Raw genomic sequence first — 25,237 nt, 5'->3', positions numbered from 1 at the left:
CATTCTATATTTTGTGTTAACTAATTTCTTTGTTTTCTTTCTTCTCTCTTCTGCAGATCTTGAGGGTACTTGTTTTGGAGTTAGGGAGCAGATGCAGATAGCTGCCATGACAGGCCTTCATGTTTAGCTTATAAATTTAACCCAATCTACTTCTAATTTTTTTATCCAGTGCCTCTCTCCCTCTTCCCTCTCATATTCCTTTCCCTCTGCTTTTTACATTTATTATTATTATTTAAAGAGACAGGGTCTTGTTCTGTTGCACAGGCGGGAGTGCAGTGGTAAAATCAAACCCATTGTAGCCTCAAACTACTGGGCTCAGGTGATCTTCCTGCCTCAGCTTCTCAAAGTTCTAAAATTACAGGTGTGAGCCACCGTACCTGGCCTCCTCTGCTTTTTTATTATTTTATTATTATTATTATTTGCTTTTTCCCCTGATTTGATGTATATTGTTGTCATTTTTTATTATTATTTTTCATTTCTATTTTGGGTTTGGGGCACCTGTGCAAGTTTGTTATATAGGTAAACTCATGCCATGAGGGTTTGTTATATAGAGTATTTCATCACCTGGTTACTAAGCCTAGTACCCAATAGTTATTTTTTCTGCTCCTTTCTTTCCTCCCACCCTCCATCCTGAAGTAGTCCCCAGTGTACATCGTTCCCTTTGTGTCTACGAGTTCTCATCATAACAGATACTGTTTTATTATCACAGTAAATACCCTGTTGGCTGATCAATATGTAATAGTAGTTGGTCTGTTAATTGAAAAGATTCATTAAGGATGAAGAATCATGACATATTACTTTAAGCATTTTTTATATTTTTCTTTGTTTTCTAAGTCTTTTTGTTTTCAAGTAGTTAAGACTCATAAGAAGTTACAAAAATAGTACAGTTACCGTGTACCTTCATCCAGCTTCCTCCAGTGATAATACCTTACATAATCATAGTACATTGTCAAAACTGGGAAATTGATGTTGGTATAATATTATTAACTCAAGTACAGACTTAGATTTTACCAGGTTCAACATGCACGTTTTGGTGGGGGAGGGGTGGTATATGAAATTTTATCACATGTATAGATTCATATAACCAACTGCTATAGTTTGAATATTTGTCCCATCCAAATCTGATGTTGAAATTTGATTCCAGTGCTGGAAGTGAGGCCTAATGGGCAGGGTTTGGGTCGTGGGATGGATCACGCATGAATAGATCACTCCCCTCCCTTGGGAGCGGAGGGGTCGTGAGTTCTCACTCTGTTAGTTCTTATGAGAGCTGATTGTTAAAAAGAGCCTGGCACCTTCCCCCACCTTCTTGCTTCCTTTCACACCATGTGACCTCTGCACATGCCTCCTCTGCTTTGCCTTCTACCATGAATGGAAGCAGCCTGAAGCCCTCACCAGAAGCAGATGCTGGTGCCATGTTTCTTGTACAACCTGCATGCAGAACTGCGAACCAAACAGACCTCTTCTTTATAAATTTTCAGCCTCAGGTATTCCTTTATAGCAAGGATGCCCAATCTTTTGGCTTCCCTGGGCCACATTGGAAGAAGAAGAATTGTCTTGGGCCACACATAAAATATACTAACAATAGCTGATGAGCTAAAAAAAAAAAAAATCACACAAAAAAAATAATGTTTAGGAAAGTTTGTGAATTTGTGTTGTGTTGTGTTCAAAGCCATCCTGGGCCACATGTTGGGCAAGCTTGTTTTGTAGCAGTACAAATGGACTAAGACATCAACACCATAATCCAGATACAAAACTATTCTATCACCACGAAAGAACTTCCTCAAAACATAAATGTATATTTATTTACCAATCTTGTGGTATAGGACCATCAGTCAGAAGGCATTACAGAGGGAATGATGGAGTGTATCTGTTATACCAGTGTGGTGTTTACGAAGTTGGTTTTGACAGCCTCTACTCTTTATCACCTTTAAGATGTATTAGTTACATTAAGTAGGGTTGTGAGGGGCAAAGAAGTCCTAAACTATATATATATATGCAACACTTTGATTCATAATTTCATAGTTGAACTTCTGTTTACCTAATGATTTGAATCTGCCTGTTCATTTTTTGTATGTATCCTGCTTTTAAGGCATTCCCCAGTTTCAGCCCTTCAGCTGGCATCTCACACTGGCCCTTTGTGTCTAAGCTCTTGGAGTGACATGTTTTCTCGTTGCTCCCTTCCTAACCATTCACCTGAAACTTCCAGTGCCTAGGATTGTAGTAACTTACATAAGAAAAATGTTTAAAGTCTTTTTTCTCTGTTAGTATTTCAGAATTTAGCTGAATTTGAGATATTTTCTTAATTCCATTGGGAGTAGTTGTATTACATAGTTCTCCTTGAATTTTTTCCCCTGATCCTTTCCCTTTTGTTAGCAATAGGCCAGGGCTCATTCCTAGAGTCATTCTCTTCTTTCTTGATTTATTCTCCTAGGAGTTCATCCCATCTCTAACATACATTCCCTCCTTTACATTCACACTGCTTCTGTCCTTGTACTAATTTTGTTGTTTCTTGTTTTAATTGTTAAAATAGTTTCCTCACTCATCTCTCTGTCTTCTCCTTTCAGGCTATCTGTTATACTTCCACCAGAGTCAACATCCATCCAGAGCATTTTCTCAATTGTTACTTTCCAGCTTAAAAATATTTTATGAATTCCAATTACCTACTGTTATAAGCCAAATTAAAGAAGACCTTAATTTGACATTTAAGTCCTTCCTTAATCTGACTTCAACCTATTTTTCTGTTTTTTTTTCTCTCATGGTCTGCTGCAGTCATATCAGATTTGTTTCTCTAACACCAACAGTACTTTCCTCCCTCTTTGCATTGTTCACTATGTTCTTTTTACTTAAAATGCATCTCATTTTTTCTGTTGTAATTCTGTCAGCCCTTCAAGGCCCGGTTTATTTTTTCTTTTTTGTTTTCATTTGAATATCTAGGTATCAAATAAAATATGCTCATAGATTGTTAAATACTTTCACTTTTTTACTTTCTTTTTCTTTCAAAATGTTTTTAAATATAAATTTCAAATAGATAATATATTCATGTGATGCAGAAATTAAAGAATTAAAAATATATCAAAACTAAACACTTATACTCTTTGAAAGACATTGTTAAGCAAATGAAAAGACAAGTCACAGATGGGGAAAAATATTTGCAGAACGCACATCTGATAAAGGTTTTATATCCAAGATCTGTAAACAACTCATACAACTCAATAAAAAGAAAACAACACAATAAAAATGGACTAAAGATTTGAATAGACATTTTATCAAAGAAGAGATACAAATGGCAAATAAGCATGTTAAGAGATGGTCAATATCATTAGTTATTAGGGAAATGCAAATTAAAACCCTGGCAAGAGGCTGGGCATGGTGGCTCACACCTGTAATCCCAGCACTTTGGGAGGCCAAGGCAGGCAGATCACGAGATCAGAAGATTGAGACCATCCTGGCTAACACGGTGGAACTCCGTCTCTACTAAAAATACAAAAAATTAGCTGGGTGTGGTGGCGGGCACCCTGTAGTCCCAGCTACTTGGGAGGCTGAGGCAGGAGAATGGGGTGAACCCGGGAGGTGGAGCTTGCAGTGAGCCAAGATCACGCCACCGCACTCCAGCCTGGAGACAGAGTGAGACTCTGTCTCAAAAAAAAAAACAAAAAAAAAACAAAAAACAAAAACCCTGGCAAGATACCACTGCCTACCAGTTAGAATGGTTAAAACAAAAACCAGACAATGCTAAGTGCTGACAAGGGACAGAAATCATTGGTTGTCAGAGACTAGGGGTGGGAGGGATTGACTCAAAGGGGCATTAAGGAAACTTACTGGAGTGATGGAAATATTTGATATCTTAGTTGTGATGGTAGTTATATGACTTTATGTCAGTCAAAACTCATAGAACTGTATACATAAAGTATGAATTTTACTGTAAGTAAATGATACCTCAATAATTAAAAGTAAAGCAAATTAAACCTGACTTGAAAATAAATTAAAAAGTTAACAGTGAAATAAATCTCCATTTCACCTCTGCCTATTCCAAATCTACTCATTTCCTATACTGTCTCTGATTCTTCCCCCTGCTCCCTACATTCACCTTTAGGTAGCTGTACTGTTATTAGTTTCTTTAATATATTCTTCCAGAATTTCTTTATTCACATACAATAAATACAAATGAACATTCTTAATTTTCCCTTTTTGATTCAAAAGGTAGCATGATATACATTCTATACCTTTCTTTTTTTCACTTGTCAGTGTATGTAGACGATCTTTCCATGTTAGTATATAGAACTTCCTCATTCTTTTTTTTTTTCTTTTAGACAAAGTCTCACTCTGTTACCCAAGCTGGAGTGGAGTGGCACGATCTCAGCTCACTACAGCCATGGCTCAGCAGTCCTCCTGCCACATCCTCCTAAATAGCTGGGGGATTCTCCCATCTCAGCCTCCCAAGTAGCTGGTAGCTGGGGCTATAGGTGTGTGCCACCATGCCCAGCTAATTCTTTAATTCTTTTTTTTTTAGAGACGGGGGTCTCACTATGATGTTGCCCAGGTTGGTCTTGAACTCCTGGCCTCAAGTGAGCCTCCTGCCTTACACTCCCCAAATTCTGGAATTATAGCCATGAACTACTGTGCCTGGCCCGACCCCTTTTTTTTTTTGCAGCTTCAGAGTGTATTCCATTATTTGGGCATACTATAATTTATTTAATCAGTGTCTCCTATTGGCAGACATTTAGGTTGCACAAAATCTTTTGCTGTCACAAACACTGATGGTAGTGACTGACTTTGTACATCCACTATTTTTGCACAAATGCAAGTATATCTGTGAGATAGATTTCCAGAAGTGAAATTGTGAGACAAAGTGAATATATGCATTTACAATTTTGATAAATATTGCTGAAGTGCCATCAATTGAGGAAGTTTCAAGAGATTATTTGTTTCAAGACCCAGTAAAATGCTGCCTATTCCTAAGACTTGTCCTTCCTCTCTCCTACTACATGGAACTAATCCTTACCTGTCCCGAGTGTTTATATTTCATTGTGCTTCACTAATGATATTCATTATAATCTGCTTTAAATTGGAATCATTTGCATATGTGACTGTTTTTCTCCAGTTGGGTTTGAGTTGTCTTTACTACATTAAATAAGGTCATTGAATTTCCTTGATCTGACATTATTTCTTTTTCTTATTAGAATTAGATGAGATATGCAAACTGGTATTATTTCTTTGACTACTTATGTCAAGATTTCTCTAAACAGCTGATTTCTGTTTTCTCTATTTCAGTCTTTCTATGGCAGAAGTAAGGTCAGAGCCAGGCAGGGGAAACTCTTAAGTAGAAAGAGTCTCCTGGGCTTGACTTGGCTAGAATCCATCAGGGAGAAGTCTAGATGCCCAATCAACTGTGGACTAGGCTGCAGAATGTGATAATAAGTCTGGAGATTTTCATTCTGACAGTTACTGGAATGAAAATAATTGGGCAAAATTACACAACACAAAAAAATTCTATGTTAGCTGAAGGGTCATGTCAGGTAATGAATAAAAGTACAACCTCTGAAACGTTATTTACCAAAAAAGATTCATAGTAGACTTTCATATATTCTCTTAGACAATTTTCTTCTAAAAAGAGAACTCTCCAACCTTAGTTCCATCAATCAAATGGAGAATATTAGGTATTCCTGTTAATCATGATGTCTTAGGAAAATATTGAGATCCACTGACTATGATTGTCAATGAATGACAGCTAAGAAAATAATGGGGATTTTTTTAAAGATTGCAGGAAATTTTAATTACTGAGACTTGCCATTAAATACAGAATATTTTAAAATAGTTGTCTTAAAAACCAAACAAAAGTAAAGGGAAAGAGAGTATTTAATGAAGGAAGAAATGAAATAGCTAACTTGATTAAACATAGATTATAAAAATGAGCAAGTGGAGGAAGAACACATAGATTGTTTATCCTGTGCAATAACATACAACCAAATTATTCTGGTAAGGACTTTTTTTTTTTTTTTGAGACAGAGTCTCACTCTGTTGCCTGGCTAATTTTTGTATTTTTAGTAGAGATGGGGTTTCACCATGTTGGTCAGGATGGTGTCGATCTCTTGACCTTGTGATCTGCCCGCCTCAGCCTCCCAAAGTGCTGGGTTACAGGCATGAGCCACTGCGCCCGGCCAGGATTTTTAAAATAACGTTTACTATCTTTTCTGACTACAAAAGTAATACATGTTAATTGAGAAAAATTTGAGGTTACTTAAGAAAAAAAAAACCCAAAAATTATACTAATGAAAAGTGTGTCTATGATCATTTTCAAGTTTGGCAGTTGTCATATTGAGCTACAGTGCCACCCACGAATCGTCAGGGTACTGACTTGATTCTTGTGGAGCAGTAGAATGGAGACAATGTTTGTTTGTTTGTTTTGTTTTTTGTTTTTTTTTTTTGAGACGGAGTCTCGCTCTGTCGCCCAGGCTGGAGTGCAGTGGCTCAATCTTGGCTCACCGCAAGCCGAGATCGCACCACTGCACTCCAGCCTGGTTGACAGAGCGAGACTCCGTTTCAAAAACAAACAAACAAAAGTAATACAGGTTGAATATCCCTTATTTGAAGTGTTTTGGATTTCAGATTTTTTGTTTGTTTGTTTTTTGAGACGGAGTCTCGTTCTGTCGCCCCGGCTGGAGTGCAGTGGCGCGATCTCCGCTCACTTTAAGCTCCGCCTCCCGGGTTCACGCCATTCTCCTGCCTCTGCCTCCCGAGTAGCTGGGACTACAGGCACCTGCCACCACACCCGGCTAATTTTTTTGTATTTTTAGTAGAGATGGGGTTTCACCGTGTTAGCCAGGATGGTCTCTATCTTCTGACCTTGTGATCTGCCCGCCTCAGCCTCCCAAAGTGCTGGGATTACAGGCGTGAGCCACCACGCCTGGCCGAATGGAGACAATGTTGAAAGACCTTAGTTAATGCCTGGTTTTACTATTTACTAACTTTTGTGTCCTTAGACAAGTTATATACTTCTCAGAGCCTATATCTATATTTGTAAAATGAGCAAGACAAAGACCTCGCCCGCACAGAGTTTATATTCTATAGACTAAAAGAAGACAGGCAGTAAACAAATTAAAATAGATTAGCCCTATGTAGTGGCACATTCCAGTAGTTCCAGCTACTTGGGAGGCTGAGGCAGGAGGATCACTTGAGCCCAGGAATTTGAGGCTGCTGTGAACTATGATTACACCACTGCACTATAGCCTGGGCTACAGAGCGAGACCTCATCTCTTAAAAAAATTAAAATCTAAACAAATGGGCAATAAACAGAATAAGAATATAAATAAAATTGATTTGGGGGTAGTAAAGGTGTTATAAGAAAGAAAGAAAGCAGAGTAAAAGAATAGAGTGGCACCACAGATGGGGGAGCAGTATTTTAGATTAGGATGATTAAGGAAAGTTTCTCTCAGGAGGGACATGTGAGCAGAAGCCTTAAAATGGAGTAGAAGAGCTAGCCATTGGAGGGATTCAGGGAGCTGGCATTCCAGCTGGAGAGAATCGTGTGCACTGTTTTGAGCTAAAACCAAAATTGGTCATGAAAGAAACCATGGTAAATCCATTGTGGAAGGAGACAAATGCCAGATCATGAAAAGTCTTGTAGGCTAAGTAAAAAGCTTGGACTTTATTCTAAGTTGAGTTCTCTGAGGACTAGGATCATGTATTTTTCATGTTGGTGTTATTTCTAGTATGTGGCACATACTAAGCATCCGATAACTTGAATTTTTAATACATGAATTGCATATGGAGGTAGGGTACAAGTTGCCACCACCTTTGAATTGAGTTTGAATGAAATAGCCAAGATATGAAGAGCTTGGTATCTCAGGTTTACTTAGTGATTCCTCACCATCTAAATATATTTATTTGTATCAGAACCTGAATATTAATGTATATACTATGATACTTACCACGATTATGGGTATATGAAAGCATTTAATGTTTTCTAATATAGAGAATTGTATAGATGTCATAAATGCCTCTGTATTTTAAAATGTAGGTAGGAAAAAACTGGACTGAAAATTAAAATTTTATCAGTTTTTTTTTTTAAAGATGTGATTTAGAGATAATCTCTCTAGTTTCTTGTAATTTCATAGTTAAAAGTTAGAAATTAAATAGTGTTTTATTGTGACAATAAAGGACGTGTTTCTTCCATTTACTTCATGGTTCAAGTGTGCTGAATGTATTGCTGTTTGAAGCTCATTTATTATTCTTTGCATGGCTTCGTTGTAGCCTCGAGCTGTGGCAGGTTTTCGAGGGACAGTTCGTTATGCATCAATCAACGCACATCGGAACAGGGTAGGTATCTGAACTAGAGTCATATCTGTATAAGTATGCTAATAGCTTAAATCAGATTGACTTCTTTTTTATTTTATTATTATTTTATATATATATATATATGTATATTTGTTGAGACAGAGTCTTGCACTGTCGCCCGGGCTGGAGTGCAGTGGCCCGATCTTGGCTCACCGCAACCTCTGCCTCCCGGGTTCAAGTGATTCTCCTGCCTCAGCCTCCCAAGTAGCTGGAATTACAGGTGCCCGCCACCACGCCCAGCTAATTTTTTGTATTTTTAGTAGAGAAAGTGTTTCACCATGTTGGCCAGGCTGGTCTCAAACTCCTAGCCTCATGATCACCTGCCTCAGCCTCCCAAGGTGAGATTGACTTCTTTACAAAGTACAAAGATGTGGAAAGTGCTTGAGAGTTGAGGATCCCTTTAATAGCTACAAAGTTGCTTGGAATGTTCGTCCTAATTCATTCTTGTGTGGCACTAATGATAATGGAATTGGTAATACTAATGCACGGTATAGTGTATCGTGGATAATAGATATGTGCAGCTGCTTGGAAAATAAAATTGGATTTGCCAGAAAAGACGATAGCTAAGTATATTTATGTCTTTGGGAAATCTGTGTCCTTAATTAGATATAAGTATTAACAAATTTAATATAGAAGTTTGGGAGGCTGAGGTGAGCAGATCACAAGGTCAGGAGTTTGAGACCAGCCTGACCAGCATAGTGAAACCCCATCTCTACTAAAAATACAAAAATTAGCTGAGCATGGTGGCATGTACCTGTAGTCCCAGCTACTCAGGAGGCTGAGGCAAAAGAATCACTCGAACCTGGGAGGCGAAGGTTGTGGTAAGCTGAGATCGCACCACTGCACTCCAGCCTGGGCAACAGAGCAAGACTCTGTCTCAAAAAAAATATACACATATATATATATATATATATATATATATATATATTTATTTATTTATTTTTATATATATATATTTTTATATAGAGAGAGGGAGAATTTGGAAGAGATTGAACATCTCTTCCAAATTTGAGACAGAGCAAGACTCCGTCTCAAATATATATATATATATATATTTTTTTTTTAAATATATATATATATATTTTTAAATATATATATATTTTTAAATATATATATATATTTTTAAATATATATATATTTAAATATATATATATAGAGAGAGAGAATTTGGAAGAGATTGAACATCTGTGTACTATTTCAAGAAATTATTTGGGAATATAATACTATCAATACCTAATGAAATGTGGGAGTCATCATTTTATCTGTAATATGTATCTAATCTGATATCCCTCTCCCCACCAAACCTTTTGTTTTCATGAAGATTTCAAGTGCAGACAATTTTAAAATGTTTGTTTTAGTAAATTATCCCTTTCCTCTTGGGTTAAATTTTAAAAATATCTCCCCTCACCCCCTTACTTTGGTCCCTTTGTTCTGCGCTGACTTTTTCCCCTTCATCCCGAACTTTATGAGTAGGAAAACTGGGCATTTTTATGGATTATCAGTCCTTTAACTTTTTTGCATGGAGTTGGGAAACTGAGCAAGTGATTCCTTGATAAAATAGGGAAAAAAGTATTTCTTGTTGATTCTTTTCTTTACCTTGTTCCTGTTCTGATAAGCCAAAATGAGAACTTGACCAATATATGATAGGAAGAGTATACTGTGGTCTTAAATGCTATGCTGCAGTTAATTTGGCTTCTTATGGCGTGATTATAAATTGAAAATAGTAAAGCTATTTTTCTCGGTGTGTAGCACTCTGCTAAGCATTTAAACTCATTTGGTTTGATTCAGTGTTGCTTTATTTCATGATATCTAGTCATTTACTTATTTACTTTGTCTTGAAAAGAAGCTCTCTTCTTTTCCTGATAGATTCTTACAAAAGTTTAGAAATACTAGGTTTTCCAGTTAATTTTATTAAAGAATTATGTCAACATTGGAATCTGTGAAAATACATTATTTTTAAGATAAACATAAGTATTTTCAGGGATTCTAATAGCTACATAAGCATTTTCAAAATAGCTAATAGAGATTATGTACTTTTACTGTTTTAATTTAGACAGTGGCAATTTCTTCTAAAAGCCTTTCCAGCACAGTGTCCTCTAACAGTTACTTTGATAACTTGCTTCTTTGTTACTCATCTAACCTTGTAGAGGAATTTGATAGTATATAACAGTGGTTCTTAACCCTCTTTTCTGCTCCCAGCACACCTGAGGGGTAGAATGCTTTTACTCAGTAACATAGTTCACAACGATTGTTAGTTTGTGAGGTGATGCAGGAGTGCACCTCTTGGAACTTCCACAGTTGCTTGTCTAAACTTAAAAGGTTTCCCAGCTAATTCTAACATGCTTCTTTTTTCCATACTCTGAAACCCTGATTTGATAATATCTAAAAATAATACACTCTATTTCTCTTTTTCTGGTTCCTTAAACTTTACTTTTTAGAGACAGGGTCTTGTTCTGTTGCCCAGGCTGGAGTGTAGTGGCAGGATCATAGCTTACTATAACCTTGAACTCCTGGGCTCAAGCAATCTTCTCACTTCAGCCTTCTCAGTAGCTAGGACCACAGGTGCACACCACTGTACCTGGCTAATTTTTTAATTTTTCATATTAACAGTCTTGCTATGTTGCCCAAGCTGGTCTCAAACTCCTGGCCTCAAGCAGTCTTCTAGCCTTGGCCCCCGAAAGTGCTGGGATTACATGCATGAGCCACCATGCCTTGCCAAATCTTAAAGTTTTAACATAAATAATTCTTAAATAATACAAGGACTTTTAAAAACACTTGAGCCTGGCCAACATGGTAAAACCCCGTCTCTACTAAAAATATAAAAATTAGCTGGGTGTGGTGGCGGGCGCCTGTAATCTCAGCTACTCGGGAGGCTGAGGCAGGAGAATTGCTGGAACCTGGGAGGCGGAGGTTGCAGTGAGCCGATAGTGCCCCATCGCACTCCAGCCCGGGCTGACGACAACGAGACTCTGTCTCAAAAAACAAACAGAACAAAAAAACACTTGAACTCTGTCATACTGTCTTATTGTTGTTTTACATTTTAATCTTGTTAATATTTATCTCAATACTTTGAAAAAATTACTTTCTTCTGCTTCTTGGGTCACTGTTGAGAACATCTTTGTTACTTTATTTAATTGTTGTTACTTTTTTTTTTTTAAGAGATGGAGTCCTGCTCTCTCGCCCTCCTTCGCCCAGGCTGGACTGCAATGGTGTGATCTTGGCTAACTGCAACCTCCGCCTCCTGGGTTCTAGCAATTCTCCTGCCTCAGCCTCCCGAGTAGCTGGGATTACAGGCATATGCTGCCACGCCCAGCTAATTTTTTTATTTTTTAATAGAGACGGGGTTTCACTGTGTTGCCTAGGCTGGTCTCGAACTCCTGAGCTCAGGCAATCCACCAGCTTCAGCCTTCCAAAGTGCTAGGATTACAGGTGTGAGCCACTGCGCTCGGCCTTAATTTGTCCTTTTTAAAGTTTTATTTTATTTTTTATTTTTTGGGAGAGTCTTGCTCTGTTGCCCAGGCTGGAGTATACTGGTATGGTCTCGGCTCACTGCAGTCTCAACCTCCTGGGCTCAAGCAGCCCTCCCACCTCAGCCTCCTGCATAGCTGGGACCACAGGCATTCACCACCACACTTGGCTAATTTTTGTATTTTTTGTAGAGACGGTGCTTTGCCATGTTGCCCAGGCTAGTCTTGAACTCCTGAGCTCAAGCAATTCACCTGTCTTGGCCTCCCAAAGTGCTGGGATTACAGGCATGAGCAACCGTGCCTAGCCAATTTGTCCTTTTTATTTGAATACTTTTGGTATCTTCTCTGTCTTTGGAGTCCTGCATTCAAATGTGCCTAGGTGTGGGTTTTTAAATATTTATCTGTTTGGGATTTGATGTGTTTCCTAACCAAAATGTTCATGTCTTTCCTTGATTCTGGAAGATTCTTATATTCCCTTTTTCCCTTTCTCTTTATACTCTTTTTCCCAGATCACCAAATTGATACATTAGACTTTCTTAGATTTTCTTATTCTGTCCTTTGTGCTGCCTCTTAAGTTCACTACTGGATTCTCTAATTCTTTGTGTCTCTGTGCTGCATTCTAGATAATTTCTTCATATCTGTTTTCCAATTGATTTTTTTCTGCTGTGTTTGGTCAGCTTTTAAGCCTGCCCATTGAGTTTTTAATTTCTATAATTGCGCTTTTTATTTCTAGATGTTCTTTTTAATCATTTTCCAAATCTGGTTGGGTTTTGGTTTGTTTTTATTAAATATGGTTCTTTTCTGATGACTGATTCCATTTTTCATTTTAACATTTTAAACACTCTTCGTATCCTATAATTCTATTTCTGAAATCCTGGGATACTTTTTTCTACTCTTTGTAGCTTCTTTTGACATTAGCTTATTAATATACTTTATAAATTTGAATAATGAACATATGTTTGGTGAGGCTTTTTCTATAGCACTTCTATGAGGTCTGAATTTAGGGATGTATTTATCCTGAGAGGATAAATTTGCTTCTGTCATTCCTGCAGGGCATGATCACCCAGAAGTTAATTTCAAGTTAATTTCTAGGCTTGGTTTTTCAGACCACATGGGTATATATTTAACCCCCAAATCTAAATGAGGGACAGACCTGTGGTAACAAATTCCCAGGACAATTTTTTTAAAACTCATTTTTTTCTTTTGATAGCAATTAAGTTTTACAGAAAACAATTACAGTATAATGTACACACCAAATACTGCACTACGGATGTAACCCTTTTAGGGCCCTAGCTATATGGTGGGGGTGGGGTGTATCTCAGTTACAACTCATGTCCTATGTAGGCCCAAGGCCTTTATGCCTGTCCCCTTCCTGGTTGATAAACTCATGACAGATGCCCCCACAGCAGCCAAAACTTCAGCATCAGCTTGCTTCCCTTATTTCTACCTTTTAAAAAATAGCTTTTAAGAGTTCTCTTTCTTCTAAATGAACACATTAACTAATGGGCTGTTATATTACTTCCACCATTTCTATGTTTTGGAGTGTCCTTTGTTTCAAAAAGTTTTTCAATTTGTATATTCTGCCATATAGATTGCTGTATAGCTATGTAAATTTATATATATATATATGTTTATCATATAATTTTTTGGGAAATAAATTTACATTTTTAGCCTAATAAGGTGAAACAAAATGGTTAGACCTTGAACAATGTAATGTACTCACAAGTAATAATGTTATGTGACTGGATTCTGTTTTGTTTATGAAGGAAATGGGAAGACATGATGACCTTTGGTCCTTATTCTACATGTTGGTGGAGTTTGTGGTTGGTCAGCTGCCCTGGAGAAAAATAAAGGACAAGGTAATTTTGGGAATGGAGATGTCAATTGTGGTAGAAGAAATAAAAATTTCTGCTGAATAAACATTTTTGTTGAAAATATACTTATGTATAAGACTTAAAATCTACAAGCATTTTCACTATGTCCCAATATATGTATTTTTCTGTGTGAGCTGACATTAGAGATCAAATTAATGTTATGAGATTTTTCTGTGTACATGGAGAATAGATACTAATTGCTTCTGATTAATTTATAGCCCTCCCTCTTAGCTTTTAATTTTATTAGTTCTCCCCTTTGTTTTTGTAAGTCAAGTAAGCTTTTAGTTTTTGATTGTCATATTATATTGTTTGATTTAGAAAACTGTAAACACATGTGTTGATAAAGAAAAGTAGATCAGATTTAAGATAAATTATTTTGAGATGGGTGCAATGGCTCACATCTATGATCCTAGCACCTTGGGAGGCTGAGGCAAGAGGATCACTTGAGCCCAAAAATTCGAGACCAGGCTGGATAACATAGTGAGACCCCAATCTTTACAAAAATTTTTTAAAAATTAGCTGGGCATGGTGGCAAGTGCCTATAGTCCCAGCTATTTGGGAAGCTGAGGCAGGAGGATCACTTGAGTCTCAAAGGTCGAGGCTGCAGTGAGTTGTGATCATGCCATTGCACTTCAGCCTGGGTGACAGAGCAAGACCCTGTCTCAGAAAACTAAATAAATAAATTATTTTTTCTGGGGACTATCGATACACTGATGCAGAACTCTGTGCTACTTGTTTCGTTCTGCATTATAGTTTTTTTCCGCTTTAAAACACTGTACATTAAGCTGTTAGTAAGAGCTCAGTTCTTGCTTTATGCTTAATTACCCACTATCTCATTCCCTAGTACATACCCTTGAGACGGTTACTGAGGGGCTCTTAATGCCTAACCACCAAGAGAAATTGACTGTAGCTCTTTTTCTCTTTACTTCCCAGGAGCAAGTAGGCTCTATTAAGGAGAGATATGACCACAGGCTCATGTTGAAACATCTCCCTCCAGAATTCAGCATCTTTCTAGACCATATCTCTTCTTTGGATTATTTTACAAAACCAGACTACCAGGTAACCATCTTTGTGAGTTCTGTGGGTTAGTTATTTTCTCTCTTAGTCTATGCTTTCACTCATTGTAGCTTTGAAGGTGTTATAAATGAGTAGGGGAGGTCCTTAGAATACGACTGTTTTAATACATCCTGAGAAACATGGTGAAATTAACTTATGATGAGAGTGTCAGCGTGTGTGTTATGTGTTTCATCCCTCTGGATGGACTTAACTTCATTCGAGTTTTAGGTTTATTCATCTTGCAACAGATTTTCCTATTCCTGCATGATTCATTCGGCGTATAGAACTGCTGACAGTTGAAATTATGTAAATTCTATAGCTAATTTGTTGACCAGAAGGAAATGTCCAACTAGGTAATGCATCTGTCAAGGGCTTTAGGGCAGCATATCATATGTTAATATGCTATGGGACAGCGGTCAGTGAAAATTGGCTCCATTTTGCCTGTGGTCAGAGAATCATTTCCTTAGAGCATCAGTTAATGAGCCTTAGAAGGGTTGACTAGGTTTACTACAAATTACATCCCTAACCCCAACCAGCGGTATTTCAGAAGATTCTGTTGCTCTCAGGGAGAATTTGGTCAGGGCTTAATACCTAATAATTGCTACCACTGAAAACATAAATGCGGCCACACATAGATTAATAAGAATATGTATTAGTATATCATCCTTATTTACAAAGGACAATACATAGACTTTACTGCATGTTAATGGTAGTTAAATTCTACAGTGTTGTCAGTGTTGTGCAGTCAAAAGACTAAGAAGTATCTATAGCACAGTAAATGTATTTGCATATAGTAATTATTGCTCTGTGAAATTGCTGCTTTTGTATAAGATACAAACAGGATATAAAGCAAAGAGGCAACATACAGCCTTGAGTCCTTAGAGACCTTAAATTGGTGAGTTTGTCTTCTCATGCATATGCCAATTTGTGTTGTAAGCAATAGGGACTGTCTAACAAATTGAGAAAATACACTGTGTGTGAGTTGTTTTGGAATGTGTTCTTATATTTGTCTTTTGTATGTATTTTCTGAAATGTATACAGTTCACATTACTTAAAGCAATGAAATTATACCTGTAAGACTAGATTCAAGAGGAGCTGAAAATTGTTCCAACTTTCCCATCTTGAGTGCTAATAGTTTCTTATTGACAAAATTTGCTTAGGGGAATTTAGGACAGTAAAAAACTTTGATCACATTCTCTTCTTAAACCTATATCTAAAGAAGACTATCATATTTACCAGCTGAAGTTTGAAACTTAATGATTATTTTAAACTAACAAATTATTGTTCTCAAGTTTTTCAGTTGGACATTCTCCTAAGGGCTTTTCTATCACTTAATAACAAAACAAAGTTTGGTAATTTTCCATTTTTGAAAGAAAGAGAACAGGCATAACATTACTTTGTTTCACAGATTCTGTAAATAATCCAGCTCTTTCCTGCTGTGATCTTTCCTAAGCAGTGAGTGAGAACAGAGGGCAGGTGGACAGGAGAAGGATAATTGAAAAAAGATGTTATGTAAGTGATGGGTGTGTTCTAATGACTAGTATCAATGTGACATCAGGTTTCAAAAGCCTGAGCTTTGCAGCTTCTGCCTCTTGTTTCTCTACTCAGTCTTCATCTTGAGAAAAATAACTCTACTTTTAATCTGAATGGTCTCGTGAATTCATGCTGTCCCTGTGATTAATTTTACAGTTTGAGATTCATTCCTGAATTTGATTTTACTTACTGTTCTTTCAAGATTTTATTTTCTTCATTTAAAAAAATTTTTTGAGACGGGGTCTCGGTCTGTCAGCAAGGCTAGAGTGCAGTTGGTGCAAACATGGCTCACTGCAGCTTCAACCTCCAAGACTCAAGTGATCCTCCCACTTTAGCCTCCTGAGTAGCTTGATCTACAAGTGTGCACCATGCCTGGCTTTTTTTTTTTATTTTTTTTAAAGCAGAGATGAGGTTTCCCTATGTTGCCCAAGCAGGTCTCAAACTGGCCTCAAGCAATCCTTCTGCCTTGGCCTCACAAAGTGCTGAAATAGCCAGCATGAAGCCACCATACCTGGTCTTTTCTTTCAAAATTTTAGGTTTCTCATGGGACAACCAATAAAGTTAAAAAAAACAATAAACCTCCTCCAGCAACAAGCAAAAAGCATATCCATATTAAATATGACTGCTTCCCTAGCTACATCAAAGGTCAAATAGCAATGATATGTTTCCAGCTTTGTCTATTCTGAGCTAAGACCAAAGTCAGTTTTTTTGTTATAATCAAAGTGTTAAATGATGCAGTTTTACAGAGCCACTTTCACTTTGTGTATATTTTATAAATCTTTAAAAATTGGAATATCTTGCCATAGAATATTATTACTTCAACACGTTGCACATGGCCAACACCTCATCCAATAGCTGCTGCTGTTCACTTTGACATCAGTTGTGGACCTAGAGAGAGTAGCTATTTTGTTTTCTACCAGGAATCTTTCATGTGTCTCTCACTTTACAGTAAAGGTCGAAATTTGCTTTTGAGAAGTATTATATTATTTTGGGAAATTACATCAAGTTTATCTGTACTTAGTATTTATGTATGAGTCTGTTTTCCTAACTAGCTTTTAAATCCTGGAGAAACAGCCATGTCTTATTTTTTTAACCCCATATTACACCTGGCACCTAAATTTTCAACAAATGTTAGGCAAATTTAATTAAGTCTTTACTTTGGATCAACAGTCTCCTACACAGAGAATACAAGAAAAATTAACCCTATAAGTGCATAAATAATGTTTTCTGTCTGTTAAAATAAATGTGAAGATATCAGAATTATAAACAAGATTAAAGCAGATATGTTCCTATAAATATTGTTTTTGTCAGATTCTGAATATTATAACAACTATAAGAGACAGAGTGGGCCAAGCACAGTGGTTCATGCTTGTAATCTCAGCACCTTGGGCGATTGAGGCAGGAGTATCACTTGAGGCCAGGAGTTTGAGACCAGCCTGGGCAACATAGTAACACCCTGTTTCTACAAAAAACAAAACAACAACAACAACAAAAAACAACAAAAAAAATTAGCCAGGTGTGGTAGCATGCACCTGTAGTCCCGGCTACTTGGGAAACGGAGATGGGAGGGTTACTTGAGTGAATCAAGGCTGCAGTGAGCCATAATTGTGCCACTGCACTCCAGCCTGAGTGACAGGGTGAGACTCCATCTCAAAAATAATAATAATAATAATAATAATAGGATCACGTGATCCTGGTAACACAAATATCTTTATTAGAGTGTTCAAATTTGTTAAGCATCACTTAGCAAGTTGAGAAGACTAATGGAATCCATAAATATACACACCGTTGGTGAGCCTGAAACTAAAATGTGTATCTCAACCAGTTCACCCACTGCTACAACGTTGCTAATATCAGAGGATAGGATAGAGAGGAAATGCAAAGCTAAGCAAGCTTCATTAATCTTCTTAATATACTTTCCAGGTTTAGGAATGGGGCTATTTAAATGTAGATTACATAAAAATGCAGTAGATTTGCCTCTTGCTTTGGGGGACATAGAGCAGTTGTAGGATCCTCTGACTCTGATAACATCTGAATTAAATTTTTCTGAGGGCATAGATGCTACAAGGTTGAGCTGAAAACAAGGGGGAACCTCCGATCAAATAGAGTGGTCAAGGAAGGTCTCTTTCTAAAGCTACCATGTAAGGCCCAGGGGTGTCCAATCTTTTGGCTTCCCTGGGCCACACTGGAAGAAGAAGAATTGTCTTGGGCTACACATAAAATACACTAACAGTAATGATAGCTGATGAGCCAAAAAAAAAAAAAATCACAAAAAAATCTCATAATGTTTTAAGAAAGTTTACAAATTTGTGTTGGGTCACATTCAAAGCCATCCTGGGTTACAGGTTAGAGAAGCTTGATTGTAAGCCAAGCCCCAAAAGATGGGATTGTGTTGGCCATGTGAAGAGCAAAAATAAGAGGTAGAATGTTACAAGCCAAGGGAAGAACATGTACATGCATGGGCCCTAATGGGAGAAAGGACTGAAAGAAGACAAGTATGGTCAGACAATAAATAAGGAGAGAGACCAGGTTGAGGTGAGGTTGGAAAGAGTCAGAAACCAGATAATGCAGGGCCTTGTAGGCCTTTTTAAGGAGTTTGGATTTTTATTCTAAGTACAACACAAAGCGTTGGAAGTGTTATAAACAGGAGCATGGTGATCCAATTTGTGCTTTAAGAGGATTACTTTTGCGGTTATGTGCATCCAAATGAAACAAAGGAGAATCAGAGACTAGTTGGGAAGGTACTGAGATAAGCTGAGCTGTGCCTTGGAAAGAAATAAATTTTTTTAAATCAGTGTATTTTGTTTTGTTTTGTTTTTTGAGACATAGTCTTGCTCTGTTGCCCAGGCTGGAGTGCAGTGGTGTGATCTCGGCTCACTGCAACCTCTGCCTCCTGGGTTCAAGTGATTCTCTGCCTCAGCCTTCCAAGTAGCTGGGACCACAGGCACATGCCACCATGCCCAGCCAATTTTTGTATTTTTTTGTAGAGACAGGGTTTTGCCATGTTGGCCAGGCTGGTCTCAAACTCCTAGCCTCAAGTGATCCACCCACCTTGGCCTCCCAAAGTGCTGGGATTACAGGCATGAGCCACCATGCCTGGCCTAAAAATCAGTGTCTTAACACAATAAAGGTTCTTGATCATATAATACATTAGTCAAGTTGTACAGCTCTCCTAGGCAACTCTTAAGAGTAACTTGAAAATCCAGGCTCTGCCCATATATTGACACTGCTGTCTTTAATACATGGCCTTTTACTATTATCAGGAAAGGGTATAGTGTGGATGATGGCTTAGGGGTTTTACAGCAGGCCTGGAAGTGATCTACAACACTGGTGTATGCCCAGTAGTCAGAACTCAATCACGCTGGCCCAATTCTAACTGCAGGGGAGGCTAGGAGATAGAGTATTCCCTTGTGGCCAGGAGGCAAGATGATGATGGCCTTGACTTGAGAGAAGTAATAGAGATGGAGGGAAATGGGAGAATTGTTGCCTCTGCCCCATTACGCCTTATCTCCTTTCATTCCCCATTGTACTTATGTGATCTAGTCATATTAGACCCCTCGATGCAGTCAGATGAGACTACCAGCTCTTCTCCCAGTGTGCCCTACCTGGAACGTGCCTCTGTTTCATAACACTGCTTGTCTTGTGAAATTGAAAGCCCAACTCAGATGTCAGTTTCTCCGCAGCCTCCTCTGATTCCTTCAATTCCTTCCATATTCCATACTGGAGTAGTTTCTTCGGTTCAACTCTTAGAGCAGCAGTACTTTGTTTTGTCTCTTTATTATATAAGCTCCTTAAGAGCCAGGGCCTTGCACATTTATCTCAATTTTCTCAAGAACATAGCACAATGATAGGCATTTAATAAAAGTGAAAAATTTAATTAAATCTGCTTGATTATTGCTTCTATTGAATGTAAACCACCCAAAGACAGGACTGTGTTTTGTTAACATTTGTATTCCCAGCACCTAGGACAGTAGGCAGTCAATGTATGTCTGAAACAAGGAGTGGATATTTGATGTAGCTATAGAATACAATAGAGTCACACTATGTTTACATGACTCTCTTAAATTCAGCTGTGTGTTCAGGAGGTAGAAAAATCTTAACGTCTGTGATTCTGCCTGTCCTTTGGCTTAGTCATGCTTTATGGTGAGGGTAATGATTTAGTGCCCTCATGCATCTGCTATTCTCTCAGTCTTCTCGTTGACAGCAGTTCAGTGGCCCCAAATCAGGCTGCACCAGTATGAGTCCAGTAGTTGAAAGCAGAGTACTTTTTTTGGTACAAATGTGACTGCTGTCTGCAGCCAGCTTACTTTATCCACATTCATCTGAGGAAAAGACGTCTATTCTAGAGCTGGAGGAAAAACTGGCTCTGTTGCACCTATTGAGAAATGGTAGTATTCTGTACTTTATGGACATTTTAAGGCACTTTCAAGAATAATTTCAACTATATGCTGTTTTTACCTTGCCTGCTGACTGGCTGTAACTCTTCTTTAGTAGAAATAGCACCATACTTAAAAGACCTGTTTAAATTGATGCTTTGCCACACACTGTTTGGATAACCTTTCTAGATCTCAGTTTTCTAGTCTGTGAAATGGTGGAAATACTGACTTCACAGCATTGTTGTTAAGATTTTTTTTTTTTTTTTGAGATGGAGTTTTGCTCTTGTCACCCAGGCTGGAGTGCAATGGCGTGATCTCAGCTCACTGCAACCTCTACCTCCTGGGTTCAAGCAATTCTGCCTCAGCCTCCCAAGTAGCTGGGATTACAGGCATGTGCTACCACGCCCAGCTAATTTTGTATTTTTAGTAGACATGGGGTTTCACCATGTTGGTCAGGCTGGTCTCGAACTCCTGACCTCAGGTGATCCGCCCACCTCAGTCTCCCAAAGTGCCGGGATCACAGGTGTGAGCCATGGCAACTGGCCATTGTTAATATTTTTAATGAGGTAATTATGATAATAATTTATAAATTTTAAAGTATCATGTAAATGTAAGAAATGTAAGTAGTTTTACATGTACCACAGTGATGCTGCATTTGCTTGTAATCATCTCTCTCTTTTTTTTTTTTTTTTTTTTTTTGCACTCCTCGCTGGAGTACAATGGTACAATTTTGGCTCACTGAAACCTCCACCTCCCGGGTTAAAGCAATCCTCTCATCTCAGCCTCCCAAGTAGCTAGGACCACAGGTGTGCACCACCACATCTGGCTAATTTTTATGTTTTTAGTAGAGATGGGGTTTCACCACGTTGGCCAGGTCTCGAACTCCTGACCTCAGGTGATCGGCCCGCCTTGGCCTACCAGAGTGCTGGGATTACAGATGTGAGCCACCGCACCCTGCCTAAAATCATCTCATTTTTCTTCACTCAGCATTACCTTCTATGTTAATAGAACTTCTTTTATTTCCTCTTTGCTGCTTTGTCCTGTCACAGCAATAAGAAAATGTTGTTTACCTTTTTTATTGGCCTTGTGAGGAGGCACTGAAAAGCCTTAGTGTACTATATTTCCAGGCAGTTTACCTTTTGGACTGACTGAGCCCCTGAAAGGGAAGACTGATATCATCCAGCACTTTTGGCTGAGTAAGTGACCATGCTGCCTTACCCTGCCTCAGGTCCTGGGGCAGCCAACCACATGGGGCACTTCTGAATCTCCAGTATCTTAATATACAGTCATGTGCCACATAATGATATTTCAGTCAATGATGGATTGCATATACGACAGTGGTCCCATAAGCTTATAATACTGTGTTTTTACTATACCTTTTCTATATTTAGATATGTTTACATACACAAATACTTACCATTGCATAACAATTGCCTACAGTATTCAGTACAATAACACGCTACACAGATAGGTAGCCTAGTAGCAATAGGCTATACTATATAGCCTAGGTGTGTAATAGGCTGTACCATCTAGCTTTGTGTAAGTACATGTATTAGTGAGGGTTCTCTAGAGAGACAAAACTAATGGAATAGAGATATATATATAAAGGGGAATTTATTAAGTATTAACTCACATGATCACAGGGTCCCACAATAGGCCGTCTGCGGGCTGAGGAGCAGGGAGAGCCAATCTGAGTCCCAAAACTGAAGAACTTGGAGTCTGATGTTGGAGGACAGGAAGCATCCAGCATCAGAGAAAGATGTAGGCTGGGAGGCTACGCCAGCCTCACCTTTTCACATTTTTCTGCCTGCTTTATATTCACTGGCATCTGATTAGATAGTGCCCAGATTAAGGATGGGTCTGCCTTCCCCAGCCCACTGATTCAAATGTTAATCTCCTTTGGCAACACCCTCACAGACACACCCAGGATCAATACTTTGTATCCTTCAATCCAGTCAATTTGACACTCAGTATTAACCATCACAGTACACTGTATGATGCTTGCACAATGAAATGCCTGTCGACACATTTCTCAGAATGTATCCCCGTTGCTATGTGACACCCGACTTAATGGTGAAAACAGGTAAAGGTTGCAGCTTCTTCAACTCATTCTCTTTATTTTATTTTATTTTATTTTTGCTGGTTTAGTTTGTTAGAGGATGGGTGCAGTTAAATTTTTTTCTTTACCAATGTTGCTAAAATCCCCAAGAAGAGCAGAGAAGTAAAGACTGTGTGCAGACCAAGAAGCAGCTTCTCCACTCCTTCTGGGATTCCGTCTGGTTCGGCCCGCCTGCCTCCACCATGTCCATCAGGGTGACCCGGAAGTCCTACAAGGTGTCCACCTCTGGCCCCCAGGCCTTTAACAGCCTCTCCTACACGAGTGGGCCTGGTGCCTGCATCAGCTCCTCGAGCTTCTCCCGAATGGGCAGCAGCAGCTTCCGGGGTGGCCTGGGTGCAGGATATGGTGGGGCCAGTGGAGGCATCACCACCATCACTGTCAACCAAAGCCTGCTGAGCCCTCTTAACCTGGAGGTGGACCCCAACATCCAGGCCGTGCGCACCCAGGAGGAGAAGCAGATCAAGACCCTCAACAACAAGTTTTTCTCCTTCATAGACAAGGTACGGTTCCTGGAGCAGCAGAACAAGATGCTTGAGACCAAGTGGAGCCTCGTGCAGCAGCAGAAGATGGCTCGGAGCAACATGGACAACATGTTCGAGAGCTACATCAACAACCTTAAGTGGCAGCTGGAGACTCTGGGCCAGGAGAAGCTGAAGCTGGAGGCGGAGCTTGGCAACATGCATGGGCTGGTGGAGGACTTCAGGAACAAGTATGAGGTTGAGATCAGTAAATGTACAGAGATGGAGAATGAATTTGTGCTCATCAAGGAGTATGTAGATGAAGCTTACATGAACAAGATGGAGCTGGAGTCTTCCCTGAAAGAGCTGACTGCCAAGATCAGCTTCCTCAGGCAGCTGTATGAAGAGGAGATCGGGAGCTGCAGTCCCAGATCTCGGATACATCTGTGGTGCTGTTCATGGACAACAGCCGCTTCCTGGACATGGACAGCATCATCCCTGAGGTCAAGGTGCAGTACGAGGAGATTGCCAACCGCAGCCAGGCTGAGGCTGAGAGCATGTACTAGATCAAGTATAAGGAGCTGCAGACGCTGGGTCAGAAGCATGGGGATGACCTGTGGTGTGCAAAGACTGAGATCTCCTAGATGAACCGGAACATCAGCTGGCTCCAAGCTGAGACTGAGGGTCTCAAAGGCCAGAGGGCTTCCCTGGAGGCTGCCACGCAGATACCGAGCAGCGTGGGGAGCTAGCCATTAAGGATGCCAATGCCAAGCTGTCTGAGCTGGAGGCCGCCCTGCAGCTAGCCAGTCAAGACATGGCGCGGCAGCTGCGTGAGTACCAGGAGCTGATGAACGTCAAGCTGGCCCTGGATATCAAGATCGCCACCTACAGGAAGCTGTTGGAGGGCGAGGAGAGCTGGCTGGAGTCTGGGATGCAGAACATGAGTATCCATATGAAGACCACCAGCAGCTATGCAGGTGGTCAGAGCTTGGCCTATGGGGGCCTCACAAGCCCTGGCCTCAGCTACGGCCTGGGCTCCAGCTTTGGCTCTGGCATGGGCTCCAGCTCCTTCAGCCACACCAGCTCCTCCAGGGCCGTGGTCATGAAGAAGATCGAAACCCGTGATGGGAAGCTAGTGTCTGAGTCCTCCAACGTCCTGCCCAAGTGAAGCCCCTCCCAGCCTGTCCCTCCTGCGGCTGCCGCAGAGCCTAGGAGGGAGGCCACTGTGCAGGGGAACACAGGGAACGGGAGACCCACCCGAGGCTCAGCCCTAGCCCTCAGCCCATCCGCGAGGGAGTTTACTACCTGGGGACCCCCCCTTGCCCATGCCTCCAGCTATGAAACAATTCAATTGCTTTTTTTTTTTTTTCCCAAAATAAACCTCGGCTAGCTCTGCCAAAAAAAAAGACTGTATGCATTTCTTTCCCTCTATTGCATCTACTTATCACTGAAGTGGGGCAATTTCTTTTGCTCTAAATAATCTGCCTTTCAATCAGCCAAGCCAACATTGCCATAGTGCTCTCCTGCTTAAGTACTTTATTGATCCACTAATTTTCCATTTATTAACTGAGAATTCAGGAATCAGGATTCTTAGTGAGTTCTTAATATCACCTTACAAATAATTCTTGGTTTTGCAAAAGCTGGACTTGGTCTACACTCTCTTTGAAAGGGCAGACTGGGATTTCATATGGAGGTAAATATGATACAGTTATTGATTGCATTTTGTGCTAAGGATGAGAGGAGTGCTTCCCTAAGGCATTGTGTGTATGTCAGATGACTGATTGCCATAAAGAATAAGGGTATTTTAGGTAGTAGGAGCTTGCACCAAGCATCTATGTAGGCTGCATATAGGTATATAGTCAATTTATTTTAGAATAATATATTTTTGTTGGTTAATTTTTTCTAGTTATTAAAAGTAATATGTGGTCATTATAAAAGTTTTAGAATTAACAGAAAAATAGAAAATCTAGATTATTCAGAATCTCATTATCCTGACATAGTAATTGACTTTTATTATTTA

At 39.3% G+C, this 25,237-nt stretch overlaps 1 protein-coding gene and 1 pseudogene across 10 annotated transcripts in view; both read left to right on the top strand.

The window, feature by feature from the left end:
* TTBK2 (tau tubulin kinase 2) overlaps positions 1 to 25,237 on the top strand; it is a 182,271-nt gene that overhangs the window by 95,653 nt on the left and 61,381 nt on the right. For 9 of the 10 annotated variants that reach the window (XM_006720402.5, XM_047432189.1, XM_005254173.6 and 6 more), the window contains 3 exons: positions 8,251 to 8,316; positions 13,568 to 13,660; positions 14,609 to 14,734. In XM_006720402.5, the coding sequence (XP_006720465.1) occupies positions 8,251 to 8,316; positions 13,568 to 13,660; positions 14,609 to 14,734 (285 nt within the window). The other variant, XM_047432192.1, reaches the window with a different exon arrangement.
* Positions 22,879 to 24,580, top strand: KRT8P50 (keratin 8 pseudogene 50; annotated as a pseudogene).

This window comes from Homo sapiens, chromosome 15 (assembly GCF_000001405.40).
Source record: "Homo sapiens chromosome 15, GRCh38.p14 Primary Assembly".
Taxonomy (NCBI): Eukaryota; Metazoa; Chordata; class Mammalia; order Primates; family Hominidae; genus Homo; species Homo sapiens.
Note: the sequence above shows the minus strand (reverse complement) of the source record. Positions and strands in the feature narration are given on the sequence as shown.